We start from the raw sequence: 24,756 nt of genomic DNA, 5'->3' as shown, positions 1-24,756 counted from the left end.
TGGCCACATACTCACACATGTGGCCGGATGCAGCCACATGCACACCCCCCAGATTCACTCACACTCACACACACACCCACACACTCTCACACCACCCAGAGATGACACATCCTATTTAGATATACACATCCTGATTCATAGCCATGTAGACGTTCAGACATAGGCTGAGCCCTGCTCACATCCTATAGGTCTTCGCGGTCTTAGATATACCCCACGCTCTCACATACTCCAACTCAGATGTGCCCACATTCTCCTCAAATACACCTACTTTCATACATATACCCAACACTGATACACCCACACCCTCTCACACAAATCCCATCTAAATACTCCCGTTCTCATATACACGCATCTCAAATGCACTTACACGCACAGGCCCTCCACACTTATGCAAACTCCCAATTCAGTACACCCACACTCTCACAAACATCACACAGATACATTCAAACTTGTACCCCACCCCAACTCAGAGCCCTCATACCTGAACCAGGCACACCTACAATCTCTCTCTCTCTCACACACAGTATTAAGACACACCCACAATGACACACATACCTTCCAAAGGCACTACACTTACCCACACCCCATCCAATTACTCACACTCACAAATTCCCAAGCCAAATACATCCACACACACAGACACACACATCATTCTCATACCCATACACACACACACACACACACACACACTCCAAATACAGCCCCACTCTTACAGCACACGCACACTCCAAATACAGCCCCACTCTCACAGCCCCATGCAGACACATCCACCCTCTCATATATCATCATCCAGATTCATCCCATATAGACCATGGAGATCCACTCAAAGCCACATGCACCACCCAGGTATAACTACATCCACACACAACCCACCTGGACATATCCAACTCTCACACATGCCATCCAGTGCACCTCTGCACACGCCCCACTCCCCAGATCCACCCATGCTCTCATCTCCTCCACACCACCCACAAGCACCCACACTCCATACACACACTTCCCACTCAGCTGTGCCCCCAACTCTCTTTTACACAACCCATCCAGTTATACACATTCACATCCACACCCAAGTACGTATACGCCTGCACTCTCCACCCAGATACAACCAAAGCTCTCACCACACGCCATCCAGACATACCTTACTACACACTCCATCACCCAAATATATCCGTGCTCTCACTCACCTACCATCCAGATACACCCACATTCAAACCCACTCCACCCCCAATACATCCACACACTGTCTCACACACAGCCCAAACGTACCTACACACTTTCTCTTTCACACACCATCTGGATACATCCACACTCTCCTCCAACCCAGTTAAACCCAAACTCTCACACCTCATCCAGATACACATACATGCTCTTCCCACAGGAGACATGCGTGCTCACACCCCTACCACACTCAGAAACACCCCCACTCTCACACACAAACACAATCTCGACCCCCAATTCTCTCTTAATCACCATCAGCCAGATCTACTCACACTGCACACACACAATGCAGATACATCCATACTGTCTCACACACACCACCCATACACACACTCCATAGACACCCCCAATTATATACACCCCCACCCTCACCCAGATGTGCCCAAATTCTCTTTCTCATGCACACCATCACAATACACCCTATCACACACTTCCATTGCCTAGATACACTTGTGCTCTCACCTACTGACATATCATCCACATATAACCACACTTGGATCTCCCTGACCCCAATATACCCATACTCCCTCATATACATACTCCACCCAGGAAACACCCACACTCTCTTACACACACAGTACAGACACAGCCACACCAGCAAACACATACGCCACCCAGGTATCCCCCACCCTATCTCACCATCCAGATAAACCCATACTCACACACCCCTCAAATACACACATCCTCACCCATATCCCCAACCCAACTCTCACTCATACCATCCTCCACACACACAGGCCACTTTACATACAACCACACTCACCCCCCCAATCCCAAACACACCCAAATGCCTCACACGCACACCCTACCCAGAAACACCCATACACCCATGTGCTCTCTCTCTCTTTTTTTTTTTTTTAGATGGAGTCTCGCTCTGTCGCCCAGGCTGGAGTGCAGTGGCATGATCTGGGCTCACTGCAACCTCCACCTCCTGGGTTCAAGCAATTCTCCTGTCTCAGCCTCCCAAGTAGCTGGGACTACAGGCATGCACCACCACGCCCAGTTGTATTTTTAGTAGAGATGGGGTTTCACCATACTGGTCAGGCTGGTCTCAAACTCCTGACCTTAGGAGATCCACCCGCCTTGGCCTCCCAAAGTGCTGGGATTACAGGCATGAGCCACCGCACCCGGCCCATGCTCTCTCTTACACACATGCAGACCACATCCTTTCTCTCTCACCAGATATACCAGTCTACACACACACACACACACATACACACACACTCTATTAAGATACTTTCACTTTTATATATACACACTCACATCTAGATTTCTGCCTGGATGGCATAATTTGGGTCCTCTCAGTGAAAACTATTTACCAACCCTAGATATCATACAATGCCACTCTACTCTGGGCCTTTGATGGTTGGGGGGATGAGAAGGGAGGTCTTTGTGTTTCAAGGAATCTTTTTCTAAATAGGCCTCTTTTCCCCAGTAGGACATCAGCCATGATTGGTGCCCACTTCTTGAGTGTGAATAATGACAGGAATTATCCTGAGACCCCCACAAAAGCCCAGTACATGGTCAAGGCCAGAGAAGCCCCAGAATGGGGGTCACAGGCATCAGGTGTCATAGTTTGCCAATCTGCAGGATGTCTACACACTTACAGACAGACATAGTCTCGCAGGGCACCACTGACTCTCAGTCATACACACAAATACATACTGAGGTACACAGACTTGTAAGTATTCTCCCTTTCCATCCCCTTGTCAATAAGGCCCAATCCGCACAGGCCCAAGGCCAAGTATCTCTCTCTCACATCGACTGACAGACACATGCACAAATACCTACACTCATCCTTACACATGGACACACTCACACTGTACTTAGTCATACGTGTACATCCATTTACTCTTAAACATAGGCACGCATGCGTGACATACATTCACATGACATAATGCCCATGAATGACGTACATTCACTCACAAACACAGGGGTACATACAGGCATACCTTCACATGTCCACAGACAGACAGACTTTGTATCACACCCAAGGAGATGATGAACAAACATGGACACAGACAGGGAAGCTCCCAAATGTGTGCACACACACACCCAGACATGACCACATATATTTACACACTCACACACATAAACACCTAGATATGCACATGCTTGTAAATGACATGAAGTATAGATATGCAGACATTCCTAACACAGACTTGTACACACAACTGGGCATGTTCACATGCACATAGACTTGTTCATTAATTCATTCCCATATGCTTACACTCAGACATGGAAATACAAATGTACTCACAAAACATGCCCACACTATCACAGCCAGATATGTACACCATGTACATTCCTACAAGTTCATACACCCATATGAGAAGCTACACAATAAAGAGGAATCATTTACACCTACATTCTCACAGATGGACTTGGACACAAAGGTATATTCACACACATGTACACATGGAAGTACACTCACATGCACACAACTGTACATCCATACAAGAAGGACTGATCCACACTCATCACAGACACACACACATCCTCACACACATCCTCACACACACACACTTAAACACACTTGTAGGCTGAGAGTGACATGCATGGACGTTACCTTACATTGTGTTCTACAACATATGCTCCAGAACAAAGATGCATAAACACAAACACATACATGCAAATAATTAGAACTGTACAAACTGGCACATTCACACATATGAATATACCTCTGTGTATGCCTGTCTGAATGTACAGGCATACACACAGGCATATTCACACACACACACACACACACACACACACACGTGTGTGTGTGGACAGATGTGTGTGGACATATGTGTATGGACAGGCAGGCATATACAGACATGTTCAATGAAACACACACAGCCAGATGTTCACACCTACTAGCATATACACCCACATATACACTCACAATCACAGGCATATTCAAATACACATTCACACTCACATACTCAGAAATTCAGACAAAACACATAATGAGACATGCACACCCAAGTACCTACTCATGCACGCCACAGACATGTACTCACACATAACAGTGTACACACAAACACAATTAGACATATAGACAATGCATCATTTCACCTATGCACACAGCATTTTGCGTGTGTGTGTGTTTTTGTGTGCAGACAGGCATACACCCCCACACACAGCCATACTCACATACATAATCAAATGTGCACATGTAGGCATACCCACAAAATAGATTTTCATTCACACACTCTCCCCTACCCATAAAATTAGTTCTCCTTATATTAGTGTGCCCACCTATATTAACATTTCTCTAATCGGATGTGGACATAAAGGTTTGTCTACAGGTGATATACACTGGAACATGCACACACGGACATCTATATAATTTAAAATGCTGGAGAACCCACATACAGACATTCACAGAAAGTCAAAAGCCTGCTTACACAAATGCAGGACAGATACACTCATATATACACACACACATATACACCCTCTCATACATGCATGGACATGCACATATATGCCCTTAACACTCACAAGCACACCCTTTAGATGCACCTACACTCATGAGCACACACCAATATGCACAAGCAGATACAACTAGGCATTCATCTAATTGGGCATGCACACCCAGGCATTCTGAAACCCACACACTCATACACATACAACCAGACACGTACACTCAAAGAAAAACTGATGCCACACACATATACAACTAGACATTCAACAGGCCTGATGGCTCAGAGAAAACACACCCACACTCAGGCTCAAAATCAAACATGTCCATTTGATCACCCAGACAGACATGCAAAGTCATGCCCACCCCACAGTACACACACAAGCCTACCCAGATACCCACACACTCACACACATGCCATCACACGGCCTGCTTACACACACAGGTTCATACACAGCCACACTGCCCATGAACAGACATGCACACACAGACTACACACTCAGCCACACATTTTCAGTAGCATATATACAACCACGCTCGGGCCCAGAGGCCTCCAGACCACAGACCAGGTCCTCTCCCACACCAAATGCTTCTTCAGAAAAGTCTACTTTATGCCTCAAAGCCCCCCTCCCTGCCCCCACAGAGATGGTCTTCTGGGCCTCAGTCTTTCCCCATTCCTCCTCTTCCCTTGGCCACCGACCCCACACTCTGTGTCCCATCACATCTCCATGCCCTGAAATCAGCCAGCAGACCCCGTTCTTCCCCCACCCCAGGCTCTAGGTGAGCAGCTCCCTGGGACGCGTCCCTCACAGGTCTGGCTGCTGCATGGGCCACACCCCAGCTCTACCCGAAGCCCCGTGATCTCAGGAGCTTCAGCCTCATCTCCAGGCCCTGCCAACCACTGACCACAGGCCAAACTCTTGCCAAGTCTCCCCTCAACAGGGAGACACATACATCACCAGGGCCAGAAAGGCTGCAGGCTGCAAGCCAGGCCTCTGCTGGCTCATGGGGGCTCAAGGTTCTGTGTGTGTGTGTGCGCACAAACAGGGACAAGTGCAGGGAAAGAAGACTGGAGTGGGGTGGGGGAGGGAGGCTCTGCCCATAACCACTTATCATTCTCTACAAATGAGAAGTATTAACACAGGGCTTCTCCTGCCTCCCTTCCACTACCCTCCATTTGCCCACTTGCTGCCCTCCCCAGATCTCTGCTGAGACCCTGGAGAAGAAGGACCTGTCCCTCCTCCAAGTAATCGATAACACTATTAATCATGAATAATCAGCAACAATATTGACTGTGAGCTTTGCTGACATTGCTTCAGTGCCACCTCGATGCACATCTCTTACTTACATGCACCAACTCATTCAATCCCTACACACACCCATCAGGGAAGGGTTACCAGTCTCTTTGACAGATGGGAAAACTGAGGTTCGGTAAGTGGCATGCTTCCACTAAAGTTGCAGAGCTAGTAGTTGGGGGAAGTGTCCCTGGGAGGATCCATGTTCTCCATGTACCAGGCTTTCCTGCCCTTCCAGATATATGGACCTCCGGCTACTGGGCACAAGGCCACAAGATCCGGGGGGTCTCAGACACAACATGGACATCTGAAACAGAGACAGAGAGCCTTGTGGTGGAGGCTGGGTCCCACACTGTAGGGACAACCATGTTGTTCCTGGCCCCTGCAGGTTGTCATGGGATTGGTCTTTGCCCCCACAGAACCATCAGGCAGCCTAGGGCCTGGAAGTGCTCCCCACCACCACTTCACTGTCCTTTAGCCCTACAGTGACTTCCTCCCCCTAGCTGGGAATCGGCAACATCTTCAGTGGTGAGTGAGCAAAACTCTGCTACCTGTAGGGAGAGATGGGGAGGTGGGGAGGGTGGAAGGAAGGAAGGAAGGAAAGGAGGAAAGAAGGAGTGGGGGATGGTCTGGGCTGGGAGCAGCTTCTCTGTCATGTCTACCCACCTGCTTGCTACCCAGGTGCACACACACACACACACACACACACACACACACACACACACCCGGCCAGCAGGCCAGGGATCCTGGAGGAGAGTGGAGGAGGAGGGAGAGGGAGAGGAGCAGCCGCAAGAGGCTGAGCCTGCCCAGGGTGCAGGCATTGTGAAGGGAACACGGCCGCCGGGCTCCCAGGCATCCCTTCCACAGCCAGCACACAAGGAAAGATTAACACAGCCTCATGCCCAAACGCAACCATGATGATAAAAACAGACCCTGTGAGGGGAAACAGGTGGTGGTTCCCTTTCTCATGGGACATTTGGGATTGGGGAAGATGGGGGGAAGATGAGGAGTCCCCAGGCTTGGGTACCAAGGAGCCCCTTGATGGAGCAGAAAGAGACTAACAGAGTCAGACAGAGACAGAGAGCATGGCAGTGATGGAGACTCTGAAGTATGTGTGGGGAGACAGAACAGAAGTCCCAGCCCCCCATCCTTGGTGGAGGGATGCTGACTGCTTACCTTGGCTCTCTCAGCAGGGATGTCTTGGAATCCACGATGGGGCTCAAGCTGTCTCACCCAGGTAAATCACAGCCCGGGCCACATTGTGGGACCCTCAGTGATCTGGCGGCCAGTGACACTCCTGCTTCTGTTGCCGTGGATACAGCCGGGCTGGTCTAAATCGCAGGCATCAGGGAAAGCAGGCACCGGAGGGGTGCACTGGGTAGGGCTGGGGGTGTTGGGGAACACCAGGTGGGCAGCACACAGCCTTGGGGTGTCCAACTAGCTGGCAGGTGGGGGTCCCGGCAGGTGCTTCCTCCACTATACACTCCCACTCCCATCTTCATGCCACTGCCAAGCTGGGAGGGGGGCCAGTGCTGGCCCCTGCTACCCGTCTGCCTGCCTGGCTGCCGGTCCCCCTACCCCCCCCACCCCCCACCCCCCCCCTCCGTCTGCCTGCTGGCCGCCGCCTTTTGTCCTCAGAAGACACGGTCCCCGCGGGGCCTCTGCCAAGCCTCCAGCAGATGCTCAGGGTCCGGGGCTCCTCCCTGGGAGCACACGGGCCATGGCCTGGGAGAGCCCCAGGTTGGGGGGGCTCTCATCCAGGCTCACCCCGCTCCCCGGGCCTGGCGGGGATGGGGAAGAGGTGCAGGTCCACAGCCAGAGGCAGCAGCAGAGGTGGTGTTGGGGAGGGGATGGACGCCAGAAAGAGGGGGTGGGGTGGAGAGAGAGGCTGGCCTGATAGCCGTGTCCCGGGTTTTAGATCCGGGTTGAGGAGGGTGGCTCAGAGCATCCGAGGGGGGTCCTCATGCAAAACGAGGGCACCAAGGGCCTGCCAGAGGGACCCTCCTGGCCTGGGAACCACCCCGGTGCACACAAATCCAGGTCCCACGATGCTGGGGACACCCAGCCTGGATAGAGCATCAGTGGGGAGTCCGGGGCCCTAAGCTGGACCCCATCAGGCCTGTCCGTCCCCCCTCTCCTCGATTTGCACGGTCCCTGCCTCAGGGGCGGGCGGAGGAGGAGGGAGGCAGGGAGGGAGAGGGAGGGAAGGAGGAAGGCTGAGCAGGCAGGGAGACTCCCAGCTGCCAGCCTGGTCCTCCCTGGGGCGGGGCGGGGAGCGGGGGGGGGGGCGGGGGGTGCTGGCGAGGCCAGGGAGCAGCCGGCTGGCTGACTGGGTGGGGACGCTGGCGTGGCGGCTGTGCTGCCAGGACAATAGCTGGCTGGGGAAGTCAGGCTCGGGCCTTTCTGAGATGCTCGAGAGAGGCATGAGTGGAGGTGGGGAGAGATGGCCAAGAGGCTGCTGAGAGAGCAACTCACATGGGCTACAAGTGCAGAGGAGGCAGGGCATAGAGGACGCTAGGATCTGGGTCGGGACAAAGGTCCGGCGAAAGTTTCTCAAAAGCTTTGGGCTGGGAGGCATGCTTAGGGCCCGGAGAGGTGGGATTCATAAACTGATTTAGAATGGGGTTCTATGGGCATTTTCCCTGCAAGGCCTGGAGGTTGGCTGGGGGGTTGGGGTGGGAAAGGAGCGCTGCCCAACTCTGAACAGCCCCTCTCAGGATATCTCCTGTGCCATCCCCACTTTCTCGGGGCCAGCAGACAGGCAGAACCCATACTTAAAGCCATGTCCCAGGACAACAGAATAGGAGAGGTGAGGAGAACGCTTGGTAGGCAGAGATATGAAGACAAGGAAAAAAATATTTGTTTCAAATATGATTAAATTGGGACCAAATGATGCTTCAGTGGTTCCCCTAAGTTACAGCATTCAAGAATTCAAATTATCTTGATATAAGAAATTGTGTTTTATTTCCTTTCTTCCTTCATCCATTGGTTCCTTCATTTATGACAAATGGTTTTATGTTAGGCCCAGTGCTGGGCACTAACAGTACCGGGTGACTCAGACCTATGCTCTCTGCCCTTAGGAAATGCAGGCTCTGCTACCAGACTGTGGACCTGGAACCCACTTGCATCTGAATCCCCTGGAGAACTTGTAAAGTGTAGATACCCAAGCCTACCTCCCAGAAATACTAATCTAGGAGGTTTTCAGATGGGGCTTCAAAACCTGCCTTTTGACAAGGCCCTCCGGTGGTCATTTTTATGCCCACATGCTTTGGGGAGGGAGAAAAATCCATGGAAAATTAGAAAATGTTTTGGAGGCCGGGTGTAGTGGATCATACCTGTAATCCCAGCACTTTCGGAGGCCAAGGCAGGAGGATTGCTTGAGTTCAGGAGTTTGAGACCACCCGGGACAACATATTGAGACCCCGTCTTTATAAAAAATTTAAACCTTATCTGGACATGGTGGTGTGCGCCTGTAGTCCCAGTTACTTGGGAGGCTGAGGTGGGAGGATCACTTGAGCCCAGGATGCTGCAGTGAGCTGTGTTCTCACCACTGCACTCCAGCCTGGGCAACAGAGCAAGACTCTGTCTCGAAAAACAAACAAAAAAAGGCAAAACGGGCTGGGCACGGGCTCACGCCTGTAATGCCAGAACTTTGTGAGGCCAAGGCAGGCAGATTGCTTGAGCTCAGGAGTTTGAGAAAAGCCTGGCCAACATGACAAAACCCTGTCTCTACTAAAAATACAAAAATTGGCAGAACGTGGTGGTGCGCACCTGTGGTCCCAGCTACTCCAGAGACTGAGGTAGGAGGATTGCTTAAGCCCAGGAGGTCGAGGCTGCAGTGAGCCGAGATCGTACCACTCCACTCCAGCCTGGGCGACAGAGCAAGACTCTGTCTCAAAAAAAAAAAAATGGCAAAACAATAAGTCTTCTAAAATATGATGTAAGAGAATATCTTTATAACTTTGGGGTAAGGAAGGAATTAAACAAGACAAGAAGTAATTACCATAAAGGAAAGGAGTGATACATTGAACAGCATTAAAATTTAAAACTTCTGGTTATCAAAAGATACCATTAAAATAGTGAAAAGATAAGTCATAGAATTAGATAAAATATTTGCAAAGTATATATCCAGTAAAAGGCTCATATCCAGAATATACAAATAACTTTTACCAACCAATAAGAAAAAGACAGATAACCCAAAAGAATAACAGACAAGATACTTGAACAGGGACCTTGCAAAAGAGGATAGCCAACTGGCCAAAAACTTAGGAAAATGTGCTAAACCTCATTGGTAGTCAAGAAAATACAAAATGAAACCATGCTCACTAGATTGACTAAAAAGAAAAAGACAATACCGAATATTGGTGAGAATGTGGAGTGATAAGAGCTCTCATACAGTATTGATGAGAGTATAAATTGATATAGCCACTTTGGAAACTGTTTAGCAATATCTACTAAGGCGACCACGTGCATACTTCATAACCCAGCAGTTCTACTTTTAGGTATGTGCCCATCCAAAATGCATATATATGTTTACCAAAAGACATTGTGGTAATGTTCATAAAAGCACTATTTGTAACAGTGCAAACTGGAAACAACCCAAATACCATCAATAGGAGAATGAAAAATAAATTGTGGTATATTTGCACATTGGAATAGTATACATCAATGAGAAGAAATGACTTACAACTACAATATGGATGAATCCCACAAACATTACACTGAGCAGAATAAACCAGACAAAAGAATACTGTATGATTCCATACATATAAAGTTCAAAACCAGGCAAAACCAATGTATTGTGATAGAAGTCAGAATAGTGATTACCATTGGGGTCTGAGTAGGAGGCCTAAAGAGACATTCTTTCTTTCTTTTTTCTTTTCTTTATTTTTATTATTTTTTTTTTTGAGATGGAGTCTCACTCTGTCGCCCAGGGTGGAGTGCAGAGGCACCATCTGGGCTCACTGCAACCTCTGTTTTCCGGATTCAAGCAATTCTCCTGCCTCAGCCTCCTGAATAGCTGGGATTACAGGCGGCCACCACCATGTGTGGCTAATTTTTGTATTTTTAGTAGAGGCGGAGTTTCACCATGTTGGCCAGTAGAGGCTGGATTCGAACTCCTGACCTCGGGTGATCTGCCCACCTCTGCCTTCCAAAGTGCTGGGATTACAGGCATGAGCCACCGCGCCAGGCCAAAGAGACTTTTTAGAGTGCTGGGAATGTTCTGGTTCTTGATTTTGGAGCTGATTACTCAGGTGGCTTAGTAACAGTTCATCGAGAGTGTTCATTTATATGTCTCGAGTGCTTTTCTTTTATTTTGTTTCTTTTTATTGAGACAGAGACCCACTATGTTGCTCAGGCTGGTCTTGAACTCCTGGGCTCAAGCAGTCCTCCTGCTTCCCAAAGTGCTGGGATTACAGGCATGAGCCACTGCTCCTGACTTCAAGTACTTTTCTCTTCTCTTTTGAAGGGAAAGGCAAGAAGCTTTTATTGCAAGGCAAAAGTAAACACTTAAGAGAGAGAAGTGCGGGCGTGTTTGTGAGAACGAGTTGCACAGAAGGGAGTTTGGGTTTCTAATTTTATGGGTGTTTCTTTAATTAGGGGGTGGAATAATCATTAGATGTTCTAGAAAAGGAGGGGATTTCAGCTCCCCCACTCTGGTTACCACCCCTTTTCTCCCTTATTTGGGTTTTCCCAGAAGAGTCATGGACATGTCACCCTGGCTGGGATTCTGGCCATTTTCTCCCCCTTATTTCAGATTTTCTGTTATCCCATTGTTTCTTTGCCTAGTTCTTGTTTTAGCTGTTGTTTGAGTTTTTTCATCCTCCTGTAACCACCCAGTGCTCTTCCTAATTCATTCACCCTTCAGAGATTTCCATCCCTTATTCTTAAGGGTTGATGAGGGAGGAGGCCAGTCATCTGTATCTTCTTCTTGCTAATTTAAGGGTGCTGGCCTTGCCTGTCCAGGGATTGGAAATCTCTGGATGCCTGGTCTAAGGGTCCCCAGGGTGCATCAGCAGGTGAGTCCGATTCCGAGACAAGAATTGGCTGGAATCCTTGCATGATCATCATCTTTACATGGAACTGCTGTAACCTGGAAGATATAAACTTTGCCCAGGCCTAAAGATGAGGCTTTGGTTAGCTTGAGCTTGGTGTCAGATACTGGCAGAAGTCAGTGCCTTCTTTAGATGAGATACGTGTACCCAAGTGTCAAAGCCCTGTAAAGTTCTGCGTGGCTGGGAGGCCTCAGGAAACTTACAAGCGTGGTGGAAGATGAAGGGGAAGCAAGGACCTTCTTCACATGGTGGCAGGAGAGAGAAAATGAGTACTTTATGTGTTATACTACTTCAATACAAAGTTTTTAAAAATGAAAAAGTAAAAGAGGCAATCAGATTGTTTCATTACAGTGTGAAGTGAAGGTGGGAACTGAGAGCTGTGGGAGCCCAAAAATGTCAGGGGCGGGGTGGGGAGAAGTGTTGACACCCAAGGTCAGTGTGGAAGAAGTGGAAGTGAGTCGGAAGTTTAAGAGGCAGCATAGTGCAGTGGCTAAGAGCACTGACTCGGGCACCAGACTGCTTGGGTTTGAATCCATGCCTCTTACCCTCCTTGTGCCTCAAGTTCCTTATCTGTTAAATGGGGTGATAATAGTGCTTACAATAGGGTTGTGAGGATAAATGAGGTAATATCTGTGAAGTGTTCGGAACAGTGTCAAGACATAATCAGTACCATATACCTCTTAATTCCATTTAAAAAGGTGACTAGGTGAGTGAAACAGCCTGTACAAAGGCTTGGGGGGTCCCAGAGGGTAGTGTGTTTGGAGCATGCTGGAAGCAATTTGATGTTGCCTGATGAGGGATGCTCAGGAGGCAGGGATGAGACCCTGAATGCCAGCCTAAGGATCTCAGACTTTATCTCAAGACAGGGATCTTGACCTGGACTCCTGCTATCTCAGTTTGCCCTCAGTTAGCCTTCACTCATGACCTTCCAAGGCCGTCAAGAGAAAGGATTGTTCTGTTGTTGGCGATGGTGAGGAACAGTGATGGGGAAGGAATGCCTTGCGAAGGAGGGTGGGAGGGGCCAGCTGGACTGAACGCCCCCCCACACACTCACTATCCACTCTGAAGCAGCTTTCCTCCCTTTGCAGTGGGAGGAGAGGGTTCTCCAGAAAGACCTGTCTTTATGAGATGAGCACACAGAAATCATCAGGCAGAGTTGTAGGGAGAGAAGACAGGGGGAACAAGGGAAACTGAGTCATGCACTTGTAGCCACAGTCCCCCTGCTTTTCTTTTTTGAGACAGAATCTCACTCTGTCACCTGGGCTGGAGTGCAATGGCGTGGTCTTGGCTCACTGCAAACTCTGCCTCCCGGGTTCAAGTGATTCTCCTGCCTCAGCCTCCCGAGTAGCTGGGATTACAGGCTCCTGCCACCACACCCGGCTAATTTTTGTATTTTTAGTAGAGACGGGGTTTTGCCATGTTGGCCAGGCTGATCTCGAACTCCTGACCTCAGGTGATCCGCCCATCTCGGCCTCCCAAAGTGCTGGGATTACAGGCGTGAGCCACTGCGCCCGGCCCACAGTCCCCCATTTTGAATCAACTCCAACACTGCAGGAATGGAAGAGACCTGATTCCTTTCTGCCTGTGCCCCTCTGTTTATCACCCTGAGCAGGCAGGGAGATAAGCAGGTTTTGGAAGATTTAAGAACTCCTTCCATATTTGCTCTTGTTTCTATCTCTAAAATGACAGTACTCCACCATCTGGTGGGCGAAAGCACCTTCATGGGGCTGCGACGGTCTCCTTAACCAGTCAGTGAGGCTACACTGAATTGGGAGAAAAAGTGTCATGTTCTACTATTTCAATTATACTTTTCAAAAATTCAACTTTTTAAATTGTGAAATATAATGTACAGATAGAAATGTGCATAAGTCTTGTAGATGAAGAAATAGTTATAAAATGAACACCCACTTAACCACTGCTCAGCTCAAGAAATAGAACATTAATGGTATCCAGAAGCCTCCAGCATTAATGATTATTTCATTTTAAAAAATAAAAACACATTCCTATCATAAGGAATTTTTTTTACATAGTGTATAAATAGCTGGGAGTGGTTTGATTCATTTCTCACCCATTTAAACTGTCCTAGTTACTGAATCTAAACAAGGCTTGAATAAAAATGCTCCTTTGCAACTTACTCTGAACATTTTCTTAGAGTCAAGATCCCCTTTCATTGTCTCAAAAAACTTTAATTTTTAAAATTATGAACATTTCAAACATGCAGAGGATACTACCATGAATACACATACATGCACTACTCAGATTGGACAATGAATAAGATTCTACTGTATTTATTTCATCTACTCTATTTTTTCTTTTGTTGAAGTATTTCAAATCAAATCTCAGACATTGTATCACATCCCTATATACTTCAGTATGCAATTCTAAAAAATAGGAATATCTTAAAACCACTATACCATTATTACACTGAAGGATAGTGACAATTCCTTGGTGATGTCTCATAATAGCAAGTCCACAGTTACCCAATTGTCTTCATAATTAAATGTCTTTTTACACCCAGCTTGTTCAAACCAGAACACACTGAATGATTTGACATGTCTCTTGAGGGTCCCTTAATCCTAGAGCAGGTCCTGCCTTCCCACTTTTCATTTCATGCCACCGACTTGTTGCAGTTGTCCTGTAGAAGGACCTATCTTTTGGATTTCTCTGTTTGCTCCCTTGTGGTGTCATTTAACATGTTCTTTATCTGCCCCCCACCACTCTATTTTTTCCTGGAGTTGGAAGTTAGCTCTTAAGACTCTGTTGCATTCAGGTTATTTATCATTATTATTTATTATTATTACTATAACTATTATTATTATTATTAGTTGCAACACTTTAGAGGTGGTGCTGTGAGATTTCTATTTCAACACATCAAGTGGCACATAATGTCTGGTGGTCCTGCTGTTAGTGATGTTAAGATTTATCGGTGGGTTAAGGTGGTAAAAGCCTCATCTCTCCATGGTAAATTTCCCCATTAACCTTTCATCTAATGGTTTCATCTATTGATGATTGTTGCCTGAATCAGTTGTTTTATTAGGACTTGCAAGTGGTGATCTTTCTAATTCTGTCATTTTTCTACATTTATTAACCAGCCTTCTCTACAAGTAAAATATTTCTGGCCAGACGTGGTGGCTCATGCCTGTAATCTAAACACTTTGGGAGGCTGAAGAGGTAGGATCGCTTGAAGCCAGGAATTTGAGACCAGCCTGGGCAAAATAGTGACACCCTATCTCTACAAACATTAAAAAATTAAGGGGGCCCAGTGGCATGTGCCTATAATCCCAGCTACTTGGAAGGGTGAAGTTGGAGGATGGCGTGAGCCCAGGAATTTGAGGCTGCAATGAGTTATGATCGTACCATTGCATTCTAGCTCAAGCAACAGAAGGAGACTCTGTCTCAGAAAAATACAAAAACAAAAACTTCCCTTCATCAACTTGGGCCATTGGAGTTACCCCAAGATAGAATTTACATAGGAAAGACAAAATAAATATATAATTTTGTCATTATAAATGCCAATTTTCAGAGGAAGGACTTGATGTCCTAGTTATTTCCAATGGTTCAAATGAGGTTTTTATGTTTTTTGTTTTTGCTGCTTGTTTTTAGTGCCATTATGAACTCATTTAAAAAAATATTCAGTGTGTTTCAATCCATTGCAATTATCATTCTGTTTGATGTTCAAATTACCCCATATTTGGCCAGTGGGAGCCCTTTCAAGTTTGTTTCTGTGCCTTTTTAACATGACACTAGCAGTCTTTGATAGTTTTCTTGGTTTCTGGTAGGAAAAGATGTCTCAGGCTCATGTTGGACATTTCCTGCTCCAGACCTGAAATTAGCCATTTCTCCAAGGAGCCCTGGTTCGTTTTAGTTGGGATGTATTCAGACACCAAGATACAGGTGCTAGGGATGTTCATTGATACTAGGTGTCACTGCTTCTGGGTATTTCCAATGAACAAGGCAGGGAAAAATTTTTTTTGAAAGAAGCAAAAATGTTGTTGTATCATATTGATATTTCCAGTTCAAAGTTAATATTCCAAGGTGTTTATGTACTTTTTAAAAGTTTATACTTCAGGCCGGGCATGGTGGCTCATTCCTGTAATTCCAGCACTTTGGGAGGCTGAGGCGGGCGGATCACCTGAGGTCGGGAATTCAAGACCAGCCTGACCAACATGGAGAAACCCCTGTCTCTACTAAAAATAAAAAATTAGCTGGGCATGGTGGCACATGCCTGTAATCCCAGCTACTCAGGAGGCTGAGGTAGGAGAATCACTTGAACCCGGGAGGCGGAGGTTGCGGTGAGTCGAGAGCGCGCCATTGCACTCTAGCCTGGGCGACGAGCGAAACTCCATCTCAAAATAAAATAAAATAAAATAATAAATAAATAAATAAATAAATAAATACAAAGTTTATACTTCATAGATGGCATTTTTATACTGAAAATTTTGGCTCCTAACAACATTTATATATTTGCGTCCCTGCATTAAACTAATCAAACCAATATTTCTACAATCAATTAGACTCCTGAAAGAAGTCTAGGATTTCTTAGTAGTTCTATTTGTTCTTGGAATATATTCCAGTAAGGATATGCATTCAAAAACTGTGTTCTAAAGTTGCTGGAAATAGTATATTATCTTTGGAAGCTATGTTACCAATGTGATATAGTTAGGTTTATTCATTCCAGTTTGTTTTCTATTTTTAAAGATTGATTTTTAAATTTTTAATTGAATTTTAATTTTGAATATGTAAAATGTTTTTATGTTTCCAAAGTCTCAACTCTGTAACAAGGCTTATTCAGAGAAATCTCACTTCCATCATGTCCCTATACCCTGTTATACCCCCTCCCTTGTTGGTTACTCTTTTTTATTAATTTTTAGTTTATCCTTCTAGTGTTCCTTTTTGCAAATATAAGTATCTATATATATAATACTTATATATATACATCTATATATACTTATATATAATACTTATACTTTGCTTTTTCCCTTCTTTCTCATGCAAAGGTAGCAGACTGGATTCACTATTTTACACCTTCTGCAAGCATCTATTGAGTCCTTATTATGTTCTCAGCACTGTACTGAGGTAGTCAGGCAAGAGTGATCCTACTTATCACCATGTTCCAGTATATTTTTCGGTATTACAGTTAATTAGGGCTGCTGCTCTTATCTCTGTCTCTCAGAAGACAGTGCTCCCGGGTGCCGCTTCAGTACAACTTATTTATCTCCACTATCTTGCAGAGAGCACTGACAGTGACAAGCACTTGTCCCTCAGCATGTCAAAAGAATATACATATTTTTAATTACAAAAGTAATGCATGAGAACATGCACATCGTGAGATGCTTGAACAACACAGGAGTGTATGGAAGAAAAAGCCATGATTTTCCCTCGCCCTCACCCAATCTCACTGCACTTGCTAGAAACAATTATTACCTTGGTGGTTGCCAGATGGTGATTTTCTAATTCCATTATTCATTCTACATTTATTGGTTCACACTTTACAATAAGGAATAATTTTCCTTTTGCCTCCATTTATTTATTCATTCAGTTAGCTAGTTTTATCATGGCTTTGCGGATTCTCAGTTTATTCAATGGGTTATAAACTGCTACATTTATTATTAATTTTGATGCCCAAATTGTTCCAGAATTTGACAGGGGAGCCTTTTCAAGCTTGTTTTTTGTGTCCTTTTGATTTGTGTCCTTGTTTCTGTGTCCTTCTCATGCTCCATCATTCTTTGAGGATTTCCTCACTTCCTAGAAGAGCAAGATGCTTCCGGCTCATCTTGTACTTTTCCTGACACAGCCCTGGAACCAGCTCTCCAAAAATCCAGGCTTCATTCCTTTCGATAGAGATAACAAGTTATGGGCATAAGGTGTGTTCTTGCTACTAGGGGATCATTGTTTCTAGGCCACCTTAGTGGACAGAGCTAGGATACATATGTATACATATGTGTAGGAATACATCTATCTATCTATCTATCTATCTATCTATCTATCTATCTATCTAATCTATCATCTATCATCTATCTATCTAATCTATTTATCTCTATCTATCTATCTATCATATGTCTGTCTAATTTAATCTAATCTAATCTATCTAATCTCTGTATCATCTTAAAAACCAGGAGCAGGCCAGGCATGGTGGCTCATGCCTGTAATTCCAGCACCTTGGGAGGCCAAGGTGGGAGGATTGCTTTAGCTCAGGAGTTTGAGACCAGCCTGGGCAACATAGTGAGACCTTGTCTCTATAAAAAATTTTTTTAAATTAGCTGGGCGTGGTGGAGTATGCCTGTGATCTCAGCTACTCAGGAGGCTGAGGTGGGAAAATCACTTGAGCCCAGGAGTTCAAGGCTACAGTGAGCCATGATCGTGTCACTGCCCTCCAGCCTGGGGAACAGAGTGAGATGCTGTCTCAAAAAAACCATAAGCTCGTACTGATACTCTAACCCCAATCCCAAGCCACAGAGTTCATTCCAGTCTTTCTACTTTCCATATTTCTAACTCCCTTCTCTAACAGCGAGAACCTCACTTCCCGTCATTCACAATATTTACTTGTTTGTTCAATCCTAGGATACACATTCAGTAGTTTCAGAATTGTCAACCCACACTGTGAAAAATAAAGCTACTGATTAAGGTTTAATATTAGGTTACAATTCTTTTTGTTTTCCCCTTTTAGTATAGTCACTTTATTCCATTGAAATAGGCTCATCTGTTGCTGTTTGTATTCCATCCTCCACCACCATCATTGTTAATTGATTGACAATGTGAAACATTAACGTGCCTTTTAAAGTCAAGACTATGCAAAAAATTATACCCAGAGAAGTGTCACTTCCCATCCCCTGTACCCCATTCTATCCTCTCATCCTTCTTTTCTTTTCTTTCTTTCTCTTTCTTTCTTTCTTTCTTTTTCTTTCTTTCTTCTTTCTCTTTCTTTCTTTCTTTCTTTCTTTCTTTCTTTCTTTCTTTCTTTCTTTCTTTCTTTCTCTCTCTTTCTTTCTTTCTCTCTCTCTCTCTTTTTCTTTTAGACGGAGTCTTGCTCTGTCACCCAGGCTGGAGTCAATGGCGCGATCTTGGCTCACTGCAACCTCTGCCTCCAGGGTTCAAGCAATTCTCCTGCCTCAGCCTCCTGAGTAGCTGGGACTACAGGTGCGTGCCACCACACTCGGCTAATTTTTGTATTTTTAGTAGAGAGGGGATTTCACCATATTGGCCAGGCTGGTCTCAAATTCCTGACCTCGTGATCCACCTGCCTCGGACTCCCAAAGTGCTGGGATTACAGGCGTGAACCACCACATCTGGCCCTCCTCTCATCCTTTTCACCTCATTCCTACACATCCCCTGTAGGTAATAAATCTCACTAGTTTCTGGTATACCCTTCTTGGTTTTTGTTTGTTTGTTTTTTGCACAAATGAACAATATATATTTCTTGGTTCTCTTTCTTTCACACAAGATAGTATACTGAGATATTCTATTACACTTTGCTTTTTCTTTTGCACTATTTGCTTGACAACTGTATCCTGGAAATGCATGTACTTATAAAAAGATTTTTGATTTTTTGTTTTTTTTGAGACAGAGTCTCTCTCTGTTGCCCAGGCTGGAGTGCAGTGGCGCAATCTTGGCTCACTACAACCTCTGCCCCCCAGGTTCAAGTAATTCTCCTGCCTCAGCCTCCCGAATAGCTGGGACTACAGGCGTGCACCACCACAACCAGCTGATTTTTGTATTTTTAGTAGAGACGGGGTTTCACCATGTTGGGCAGGATGGTCTCAATCTCCTGACCTCGTGATCCGCCCGCCTCAGCCTCCCAAAGTGCTGGGATTACAGGCGTGAGCCACTGCACCTGGCCATAAAAAGATTTTTATGGTAAAATATAACATACATATATAAAAGTATATAAACCATATATTCACTTTTAAATAATATGAACATATAAATCAAACACCTGTATAACCACTAAACAGGTTAAAAAATAGAACATTGTCAGTACCCTACTGACTTCTGTCAATCATACCTCCCTCTCTCTCCTCCAGAGGTAACCATCATCCTGAATCATATGGTATTTATTTCCTTGCTTGCTTCTTTTGATGGTCTACCAACTTAGTTTAGTTTTGCCTTTATTCGAGTATAACACACACACATGAAAGTGCACTAAAATTATGGAAAACTTGAATTTTCACAAACTGAACATATCCAGGTAAAGAAACAGATCCTGAACAAGTAAAGAAACCGATCCTGACCGGAAGGCCCACCTGTGTCCCTTCCCAGTCGCTGTCCAGGGTAGCCATTTTTCTGACTTCTAAGGGCATGGTTTAGTTTTGCCTGGGTTTGTACTTTATATGAATGGAAAACTAAAAGTATATACTTCTTTTGATTAATTTTATATTTGTGAGATCCACTCTGTTGGCTGAACAGGTAGTTCACTGTTCTTGCTGAAGAGCATTCTGTTGTCTGACTTCACCACGATTTTGTATCCATTATCACTGGCATTGTTGGGAGCCTGAGTCCTACATACATAGCTTGCAAAAGAAGGAAAAAGTAACCTGAAGATCATAGTCCCACAGGTGAGACAGACAGATGAGGCAGAAAGTTGCAAAATAAGTTCACCATGAGAGTTATACGTGTGGAGTCATGGGCTCAGTTTTAAAGGATGAGAAGATAGGATCTCTCTAGGAGGATATGGGTGAGGGAGAAAGAGAGAGATTCCAGGCAGAGGAAGAACACGAGGAACTGCTAGCATTTTGGGAAGATTGGATCAGAGAGAGCTGCATTTAGAGATGGAGGGGAGAATTGAGGTTGCAGGGTAGGTTGGTGAAACAAAGGATATGTCAAAAAAATTCTAAGGTACTGGATTAAGAAGATGGGACTTTATCGCTTAAGAGATTGGGGCACTACTGAGATTGTTTCCCTCCTCTTCCTTCTTTTTATTTTTAAAGCATCGTGTGACTTATTTTACAGTTCAGAAGGATCTCTCCAGCAGGGAAAGCAGGGAAGATGAACTGGAGGGGTAAAAACAGGAAGAATGGAGACCTGTAAGGAAACCACAGTAACATTCAGGAGTGATAAATATTGGGGGTTAAGAGTGGAAGTCTTGGAGTCAGGCTCCCAAATTTGTGTCTCCAGCCCAGTTCTCTCTCCTGATCTCCAGGCTCTCATGTCCAGCTTTCTACTCAACATCCCCACTTGTATGTCTCATAGGCATTTTCAAATCCTCACTTCCAAAACTGAACTCCAGCCTTACCCCTAAAGCCCACTCCTCCCACAGTCTTTCCCTATCATGTTGGTTACTCCATTCTTTTGGTTGCTCAGGCCATATTCTTATTCTTTTTTTCCTGTTATTATTATTATTATTATTATTTGAGATGGAGTCTCGCTCTGTTGCCCAGGCTGGAGTGCAGTGGTGTGACCTCGGCTCACTGCAACCTCCGCCTCCCAGGTTCAAGCAATTCTCCTGCCTCAGCTTCCTGAGTAGCTGGGATTACAGGTGCATGCCACCACACCTGGCTAATTTTTTACATATTTTTGGTAGAGACGGGGTTTCATCATGTTGGCCAGGCTGGTCTTGAACTCCTGACCTCGTGATCTGCCTGCCTCGGCCTCCTAAAGTTCTGGGGTTACAGGCTTGAGCCACCGCGCCCGGCCTTTACCATTATTTTTTTGTGACAGAGTCTTGCTCTATTGCTCAGGCTGGAGTACAGTGGCATGATTATAGCTCACTGCAGCCTCAAATTCTTGGGCTCAAGAGATCCTCCCACCTTAGCTTCCTGAGTATCTGGGACCACAGGGATGCATCACCATGATCAGCTAATTTTTTAATTTTTATTTTGTAGAGACAGGGTCTTGCTATGTTGCCCAGGCTGGTCTGGAACTCCTGGCCTCAAGCAACCCTCCCATCTCAGTCTCCTAAAGTGCTGGTTTTACAGGCATGAGCCTGGCTAATGTTTCTTTTACATCCATGCTTTTGTATCCCCCTTAGGAAATCTTTGCCAAACTGAAGGTGAGTAAAATTTCCTCCTATGTTTTCTTCAGTAATTTTTTTTCAAAGTTTTAGGTTTTGCATTTAGGTCTATGATTCATCTTGCAGTAATTTTTGTATATGTTGTGAGGTAACTGGGTAACTGTCAAAGTTAAATCTTTTTTTAATATGGCTATTCAATTGTTCCAGCACCATTTATTGAAAACATTCTTTCCCCCATTGAGTGGCATTTAAATCTTTGTTGAAAATCAACTGATCATATATGTGTAGGCCTATTTCTTGACTCTCTTCTTTTTCATTCATCTTTACACCAACATCTCACCATGTTGATTACTGTAGATAAAAACTGGGTAGAGTAAGTCTCTAACTTTGTTCTTTTTCAAAATTGTTTTGGTTCTAGGTCCTTCTCATTTCCATATAAATTTTAGAATCAGCTTGTCATTTGTGAATCTTCACAATACTGACTCTTTTCTTCTGTGAATATAGGATCTTCCTTCCTTCCTTCCTTCCCCCCTCCCTCCCTCCCTCGCTCCCTCCCTCTTCTTTCTTTCTTTCTCTTTCTTTCCTTCCTTCCTTCCTTCCTTCCTTCCTTCCTTCCTTCCTTCCTTCCTTCTTTCTTTCTTTCTTTCTTTCTTTCTTTCTTTCTTTCTTTCTTTCTTTCTTTCTTTCTTTCTTTCTTTTCTTTCTCTTTCTCTTTTTCTCTCTTTGATGGAGCCTCACTCTGTTGCCCAGGCTGGAGTGCAGTGGCACAATCTTGGCTCACTTCAACCTCCTCCTCCCAGGTTTAGGTGATTTTTGTGCTTCAGCCTCCACAGTAGCTGGGACTACAGGCACGTGCCACCACACCTGGCTAATTTTTGTGTTTTTAGTAGTGATGGAGTTCCACCACTTTGTCCAGGCTGGTCTCAAACTCTTGACCTCAAGTGATGCGCCCACCTTGGCCTCCCAAAGTGTTGGGATTACAGGCGTGAGCCACCACGTCTGGCTAGGATATTTTCTTTAATTGCTCTCAACAATGCTTTATAATTTTCAGTACACAGGTCTTGCACATCTTTTGTCAAATTTATCTCTAACTATTTTATATATCGTGATGCTATTGTAAATGGTATTTTAAATTTCAAATTCTGATCATTAATTGCCAGTATATAATAATACAGTTGATTTTGTATGTTGACCTTTTATCTTGCAACCTTGCTACACTCATTTGATAGATTCTTTTGTAGATTTCTTAGGATTTTTTTTCTTTTTTTTTTTTAGATGGAGTCTCATTCTGTCGCTCAGGCTGGAGTGCAGTGGCATGATTTCAGCTCACTGCAATCTCTGCCTCCCAGGTTCAAGCAATTCTCCTGCCTCAACCTCCCTAGTAGCTGGGACTACAGGCGTGCGCCACCATGCCCAGCTAATTTTTGTATTTTTAGTAGAGATGGGGTTTCACCATGTTGGCCAGGATGGTCTCCATCTCTTGACTTCGTGATCCACCTGCCTCAGCCTCCCAAAGTGCTGGGATTACAGGTGTGAGCCATCATGCGTGGCCTTTTCTTAGGATTTTCTATAGACAATAATGTCATATGTGAAAAAGACAACTTTACTTCTTCCTTTACAATCTGGGTACATTTCATTTCATTTTCTTACCATATTTCAAGGGCTAGAACCTCCAGTATAATGTTGAATAGAAGTGGGTGGAGAAATCAGACATCCTTGCCTTGTTGCTTGTCTTAAAAGAAGAAGCACTCAGTCTTTCCCCCAGTGAGTGTTAGCTGTAGGTTGTTCACAGATGCTCATTATCAGATTGAGAAAATTTTCTTCACCTAGTTTGGTGAGTTTTCAGCATAAATGGCATTTAATTTTTTTCAAGTGGTTTTCTGCCTCTATTCACATGGTCATATAGATTGTCTTTTAAAATTCTGCTAATATGGTGAATTTACATTGATTTTGAAATAGTAAACCAAACTTACACTCCTGGGGTAAAACCTCACTTGTTTTTAAAGGATCTAGTTATATGTTTTTGAATTTTAGTTGCTAAATCATCATTAAAACTTTTTGTGTATATGTTCATGGGAGATATTGGTCTATTGGTCTATAGCTTTCTTTACTTGTAAATTATTTTTCCGATTTTGTTATTAGTTTACTTCTGGCCTCATAGAATGGGCTTTGCAATGTTCTTTCCTTGTCAATTTTCCCAAAGAGATTATGTAGAAATGATATTTTTTTCCTTAAATATTTGGTAGAATTCATTAGTGAATCCAACTGGACTAGAGTTTTCATTATGGGAGGGTTTTAAATACAAATTCAATTTATTTAATTGCTATTCGTCTGTTCAGATTTTTTCTTTCTTTTTGAGTGAGCTTTGGTAGATTACATATTTCAAAGAATATGTGCATTTCATCTAAGTTGTCAAATTTACAGGCATAATACTGTCCATAATTGAGTAGGAAAAACAAACTCAGTTTCTCCCACCATACTCTCACAGCACGCTCCTGATGCCAGACGTACGGGGATTTCTCTCTCCAGCAAGCAAGCAATCAATTTTGCAGTGGACACCAGCTGGGTGTTCTCTAATTCAATTCCATTCTGACAGTATCTACCTGGAGCTAGCATCAGATCACACAGGTTGAAGATGCAATCCCACCAAACTGAGTCCCTGGGTTATTTTACTTGTGCTTCTGATCAACTGGCTATAAATCGCAGCCTCCACTCCTTGGGTTTGATTAATTTGCGAGAGTGGCTCACAGAACTCAGGGAAACATTTACTTACGTTTACCAGTTTACTACAAAGGATATTTTAAAAGACACAAATAAACAGCCAGATGAAGAGAT

General features: G+C 44.7%; 1 protein-coding gene across 2 annotated transcripts in view; it reads right to left on the bottom strand.

Annotated features, from left to right (window-relative positions):
* Positions 1–7,791, bottom strand: part of GPR173 (G protein-coupled receptor 173) — a 31,827-nt gene extending 24,036 nt beyond the window's left edge. For both annotated transcript variants that reach the window (XM_047442184.1, NM_018969.6), the window contains exon 1: positions 7,096–7,791. The gene's annotated coding sequence lies outside the window, so the exon portion shown is untranslated. The remainder of the gene's footprint in view (positions 1–7,095) is intronic.

The sequence above is a fragment of the Homo sapiens genome, chromosome X, assembly GCF_000001405.40.
Source record: "Homo sapiens chromosome X, GRCh38.p14 Primary Assembly".
NCBI classification, from domain to species: domain Eukaryota; kingdom Metazoa; phylum Chordata; class Mammalia; order Primates; family Hominidae; genus Homo; species Homo sapiens.
The sequence above is the reverse complement of the archived record's forward strand: the minus strand, read 5'-3'. Positions and strand labels throughout refer to the sequence as shown.